Here is a 7,074-nt window from a genome sequence, read left to right on the forward strand (position 1 = left end):
TGATTGGTCATTGAGTTCAAAGCCACTGTGACCAAGAAAACCCCAGCAACTAAGAACAACTTACCAGCAACATGACCTTGTTCAAAGTCTTTCAGGCCGGGTGCGGTGGCTCACGCCTGTAATCCCAGCACTTTGGGAGGCTGAGACGGGCGGATCACGAGGTCAGGAGATCGAGACCATCCTGGCTAACATGGTGAAACCCCGTCTCTACTAAAAATACAAAAAAATAGCCGGCATGGTGGCAGGCGCCTGTAGTCCCAGCTACTCAGGAGGCTGAGGCAGGAGAATGGCGTGAACCTGGGAGGCAGAGCTTGCAGTGAGCCGAGATCGCGCCACTGCACTGCAGCCTGGGCAACAAAGCGAGACTCCGTCTCAAAAAAAAAACCAAAAACCAAAAAACAAAAACAAACAAACAAAAAAAGTCTTTCAGAATCCTAGTATCTTCATTTCTACAATGTGGATGTTTTTGAGACACCAAAGAAATTATAAATAAAGATAACAGCAATAACCAATGTGGTAGCCAGTCTCTGAGATGGAGTCCTACCTCCTGTTACTTATACCCTGGTATTTATATCACTCCTCCCTCATTGTACCAGTGTTGGCCTGTGACCAACATAATACGGCAAGGATGATGGTAGGTTACTTTAGAGGTTAGGTTATAAAAGATCTGTCTTAGTTATGCTTTTTCTTTCTCTCTCTGTCTCTCTCCCTAGGGGAAGCCAGCTGCCATGTTGTGAGCAACCCTATGGAGAGACCCTCGTGGTGGGCACTGAGGCCTCTGCCAGCAATAAGCTGAGGAGCAGATCCTTTATCCCACTCAAGCCTTTGGATGACTTCAGCCTTTGCCAAGACCTTTGAGTGCAACCATATGAGATAACCCAAGCCAGAAGCACTAGCTAAGCCACTCCTGGATCCCTGCTCCTCAAAGATTCTGTGACATAATATACGTATTTTTAATTTAAAGTACAACACTTTGGGGGTGACTTGTTATGCTGCAATAGATAACTAACATGACCATATAACAATAGGAATAATAACCAACAAATCAGGTCCCTTTTCTTCATCAGAAGGATTTCATGATATTGCTCAGGTCTAGACTTGGGTATGGCGATTCCAATGGAGTGACTTCATCCTTCTGACTCAGCATCTAACTTCTGATGCTACATTGTCCATTTACTGGAAAACTTGTTGCTTATTCCATGTTGCCTTCATTAATTGCCACTACTGATACCTAGTACACCAGTCTCAAGAGCAGCTATTCAGAAGACAAAGGTCTCTGATAGAAACAGATGTTCTGTTCATCTTTTTTGCTGCTTATATTAAACCATTGCAACAGATTTGTTGCCTTGATTCTGATTGTAGATGTTTTGCACAAATTATATCCCTTTTTAAGTGGCAACAACCACTCCTAGAATACATACACAGCATGATCAAACCCTCATCATTTACACCTCAGTCCTGAGCCACTTGTTTTTTTTTGCTTTTTGTTTTATGTTTTTTTTTTTGAGACGGAGCTCGCTTTGTTGTCCAGGGTGGAATGCAGTGGCGCGATCTCGGCTCACTGCAAGCTCCGCCTCCCGGGTTCACGCCATTCTCCTGCGTCAGCCTCCTGAGTAGCAGGGACTACAGGTGTGTGCCATCATGCCCGGCTAATTTTTTGTATCTTTAGTAGAGACAGGGTTTCACCGTGTTAGCCAGGATGGTCTTGATCTTCTGACCTCGTGATCCACCCGCCTCGGCCTCCCAAAGTGCTGGGATTACAGGTGTGAGCCACCGCGCCTGGCCGAGCCACTTCTTCCATCAGCCCGATTCCTTACCTTTTTGGCCTTTTTTTCTCACCACTGGGTCCTTGTCTTATCTCTGCTTCCCTAATTCTGGTTTTCTATTCTTCAGTAAATGTCCTACTCCATCTCACTTGGTTCTGAGATCTTTCTCTCCTGGTGCTGTCTCCATTGTAGAGAACTGGCCATATATTCCTTGACACTGTCAGTCAGACTCAGAGAAAGTCTAGCTCTGTTGTTTGTTCTCACCTTTAAGACATTGCCTCTGAGTGTCTGGTTCTAAACAATGCCCTGTCTCTCTTGATTCTTCCAGATGCCCCATGTGGAATTATTCAGCCATCATTAGTCTGGGCCAGGGTGGCTTCTGCACCTGTCTTCATCCTCAGATATTTTCAGCTTTATCTTGTTGTTTATATCAGAAACCCTTGTTGTTGATGATGTTCTTTTCTAAATGTAGACTGCAATGGTTCTCAATCATGACTGGCGTTAAAATCTCCTGAAGAAAAAAAGAGAATGCTTACATACTATTGGCGGTAATGTAAATTAGTTCATCCACTGTGGAAAGCAGTTTGGAGATTTCTCTAAGAACTAAAAACAGAACTACAATTTGATCCAGCAATTTCTTTACTGGGTGTATATCCAAAGAAAATAAGTCATTCTATGAAAAAAATATACGCACTTGTACATTCATTGTAGCACTATTCACCATAGCAAAGACATGAAATCAACCTATGTGTCCATCAATGGGACTGGATAAAAAACATGTGGTACATGTACACCATGGAATACTATACAGCCATAAAAAAGAATGAAATCATGTCCTTTCCAGCAACACAAATTCAGTTAGAGGCCATCATCCTAAGCAAATTAACTCAGGAACAGGAAACCAAATATTGCATCTTCTAACTTATAAGTGGGAGTTTAATATTTGGCACTCATGGACATGAAGATGAGAACAATAAACACTGGGGACTACTAAAAGGGATGGGAGGAGAGTGAGCATAGAAAAACTAGCTGTTGGGTACTATGCTCACTACCTGTGTGATGGGATCATTTGTATCTCAAACTCCGCATCAAGCAATATAACCATATCACAGACTTACATGTGTACCCTCTGAATCTAAAATAAAAGGTGAAATGGTTAAAAAATAATATCTCCTGGAAACATTGAAAAATAGTCAGATGCCCAGATCCTATTCCAGATCAGTCATAAATATTTATGAAAAGCTTCCAGTTGATTTTCCTGAGTATCTAGGGGATAGAACCAATTGTATTCAGTGAGGGCCAAGAAAATTGTAATGCTGTGCCCACTAAACAAAAACCATCTGGGAGCCAGATTCACACTAGGGTGGCCAGTTTGTGACCTCTGACTAGAGGGTGTGTTGACGGTCTTGCTGGGAAGCCAGGGGCTTTGTTTGTGTACTCCCACAAGATCCTCCAGATGGGTAAAGGAAACAGTGAGCAGAGAATTCAGAAGCAATTAGCTAGTGCATACGCTTCCAGGGCAGCCCTGCTCCAAGAGGACATCTGATAACCTGCAGATAATTATAAGTTTATGGCGAACAAACTATTGCTGAAAGATGGCATCGTGCACAGCTGTTGTTTAGACAAACCCGCTGTAGAGTTTTGGACTTGGCACTAGGAATCCCTAACCGTGGCTAAACAGAAAAACTCTGTTTGTGCAGATGGAAATTCAAGATAGAATGAGTGTCAAAGCTTTAAGAACAAAAGAAACAGAAGCTTGTCTGTTTTGAAAAGAATAAAAGTGCTGGTGTATAGTGATATAGTTCTTAATCTACACATGTGAATGTCCATATGCTACTGCAGTTGTTAACTCCAAATCCAACATTAAGAAAATGGATTTGATCTTTGCATTAGTGTGTAGAGCAAGATTCTCAAACTGAGTAAATTATAATTGCTTTCCAATCTATCTCCCTTAACATGTTTATACATAGTGTTTATAAGAGGTGCTAATAATATACATAGCAAGTGCTTTCTGATTTCTTTTTAACATTTTAACATAGCTGTTTAAGAAATTTTAATATAATCTCTGCTATGCTGATTAACTGATAGAAATGGTATTAATGACTTTTTAAGATTTTAGTTCATTCTATTCATAAGCCAGATGCACAAGGATTAAACTGTATCCATAGTCTTGAGGAATCCATAATCAAAGAAAATTTAATATTTAAAATTGGAAGTATTTAAAAAAATTTATCAGTATTCCAGCCTCATTCTAATTGGTGATTCAACTTATTGGGGGTAAGAGCACCCAGTGGGGCACATGGGGTCTGTCAGTCCTTGAGATACACACAGACCTTTTTGAATCCCGGCTTCATCACCCACACATTATGTGACTCCAGGCAATCACTCGACCTCTCCCACTGAGTGTCTAAAAATATCACAATACCTGCTTTCCCAGCTGATTTTTGTTATAATCAGAAACTGTAAATATAAAGCATATCATATACAAGGTACTGAGTGCACACTCTGAGCAGATACTTGGTTAAGTGCAAGGCAAAGAACAAGAAGCGCAGGGTACAGTCTGTCTTCTAGCAGCTGACAATATATTTGAGACAATATAGGCAAATGATTAAAAGGAAATTAATTAAAAATACAGGGTACTTGCATTAAGTATTTAAGTTCAGATGAGATATCTATCTTTTATAATTTGTGTATCTTGCATCTAATATGCCGTAAAGTTTCCTGTTATTAAATAGATCCTTTAACCCTCACCCTAACTCTAACCTCATGTGTAAAAAATATATAGTTTAATTTCATCCTTAACATAATCATTAAGAGACATCACTTTATTGATAAGAAGTAAGTTAAAAATTTTATCGTAACGGTGAGATATGTAATTCATCTATGTCATTAGTCAGAGGTTCAAATATGAATCAACTAAATGCTATTTGTAATACAGATGGGATTAATAATTCCATCTATATGTTAATAATATTAGCCTTGAGACAGGCGAACTGCAACTGTCAATCTGCTGGTATCTCAGGCCAAGTGGGTTGAGATCTAGAGCAAGTAAGCCCCAAAGTGTGCGTATAAGTCAGGTTTCCATAACTACCAGTGGTTTGGTAGGCAGGCTACTTTCCAAGGACTGATCTTCAGTACAAAGGTGGTCAAAAGGCTGCTGGAGCAAAAGGTAGGTGTGAATCATCCTAGGTGCTAGTCAGAGTCAATAAAATTAATATAACCAAAAACAGAGCAGGGATTCTGGACATACAAATTCAGACAGAAAATAGGAGGTTTAATTTCTTTCCTTTTCTGTGAAATTGGCCTAAAATGAAAACTTTTCATTTTGCATTAATGACAGTCTAATATTAATGATGGGTAAATTTCATGACACTTTCACAAAGATAGACTTTATCTTCATAAAATTATTAAACTTGGTTATAACATTAGCGAGTGTTCAGTCAGTGAGGTTATGGGTATATGTTTTCTATGTTAGATTTTTGAAGATAAACCTCCAAAGATAGATTTAAATCTATGGTTAAAGGTAATGTCATAGATAAGTGACATGATTCATGGTCATCTCAATTTTTGCTGTGTCCTCATGATACAAATTGCTTTGACCACTTTAATTAAAATGGTGTTCAATAAAATATTGGGGGCTCTATAAACTAAGCTTTTTGATGTAGTATAGAGCAAAAAAAGAAAAAAAAAAGATAGGCTATGCTTTTCTTTCATTTTGCAGCCACAACAAGAATTCTGTATCTCAAAATTTGAAGACTCATGGATACTCATGAGTACATGAATAGTATGGAACTCAGGACACACAGATTTTCTTCAAAGATACAATTTCTGAAAGCCTGGAGGTCTTTAAAGACAATAAAATAATCCCTTAAAGTATTTTTCTTTAATTGTCTGAACAAAAATGTGTTGTGCTCTTAGAGGAGACACTTTTAATGTCTGAAGAACATATGAAACCCAGTGCCTTAGAACAAATTCGAATTCAGAGGGAAGGTAACTTTATTTGGAAGTTATAGTGTCCTGAAACTAACCGAACTTGTGGAAAACAAGCAGCCTTCTTTCCCTTGGAAGGCCTTTGGGAAAATATGTCTACAAGTGTCCCTGTGGAGTCAGTATTTCGGAGACAACATAGGAACCACATGTCCTTTTCCTTGCCTGTCCAGCGATGTCTAATGTGGGTGTTCATTGAGCCTGACAACCAGAGTGTCCTTAAAAGCAGCTGATCTCATTCTCTGTGGGCGCTGAGTTCCTCGTTCTCAAAGTCAGAAGTCATGGATGAGTCCAGAAGCTCCAGCCCTGCCCCATGACCCACCTCTCTGCCTGACAGTCTCGGTGAGAGAGCCAGAGCCAGAGCCCTCAGACCCCTGCTGCCATCAAGCAGCGGAACAGCCTCTTTTGTTATCAGACGGCTCCAAGAATGCGGATGCAGCAGTTAGCTCACTCTCTTAAGCCTCTTGTGGTTAACATGAATAGCATTCTTTCAATTGCTGCCGATATGAAATATCCTAAGTCTTCAAGTCAACAATTAAAAACTCAAGGTCATATTTTTACAGGAGATACTGAAAATATTTGCATTTGGGAGGTAAAACATTTTAAATTGGAGTGGTATGTGTATTTATTCTGCATCTAGATGTTGTAAAATGAAGTAGAGGTTTGTCAGTTATTCAGGTTTTATGAGGCTGGAGAAAGTCAAGACAGATGATATGCTCCCCAAATAAGATCGATCTATCTATCTATCTATCTATCTATCTATCTATCTATCTATCTATCATCTATCTGTCATCTATCTATCATCTATCATCTATCTATCTATCTATCTATCTATCTATCATCTATCTATCATCTGTCTATCTATAAAGATATATATATAAAGATATCTATCATCTATCTATCAAGATATATATATCTATATATATAAAGATATCTATCTATCATCTGTCTATCTATAAAGATATATATCTATATATAAAGATATCTATCATCTATCTATCTATCTATCTATCTATCTATCTATCTATCTATCTATAAAATTGCAGAGGCTGACTACTTAGAAAATAGTTATTTTTGGTTGCGTAAACCAAAATGAACTTATCTTCTTTATCCTTCAGTTTTCCTATAGAGCATAATTTAGCTCTTGAAGATGAGCATAATTTTTACTTCACAAAGTTAGAAAACCCTACCCCTCTAACTTTCAGCTTTTATATCTGTAAAATGAGGTAAGACTACTACTTACATAGCCTGTCTCATCCTGTTTATCTGCAGGTATTATAGAAGCATAGCCAAGATGTACTAACATGCTCTCTGGATTTGT

General features: G+C 38.7%; 1 annotated feature.

Annotated features, from left to right (window-relative positions):
* Window positions 5,850-6,144: a silencer, noted in NCBI's record as "tiled region #6480; HepG2 Repressive non-DNase unmatched - State 24:Quies, and K562 Repressive non-DNase unmatched - State 24:Quies". NCBI's record gives its function as "represses a minimal TATA promoter and a strong SV40 promoter by Sharpr-MPRA in HepG2 and K562 cells {active_cell/tissue: HepG2 | K562}" and the evidence as "EXISTENCE:reporter gene assay evidence [ECO:0000049][PMID:27701403]".

The sequence above is a fragment of the Homo sapiens genome, chromosome 1 (assembly GCF_000001405.40).
Source record: "Homo sapiens chromosome 1, GRCh38.p14 Primary Assembly".
Lineage (NCBI taxonomy): Eukaryota > Metazoa > Chordata > Mammalia > Primates > Hominidae > Homo > Homo sapiens.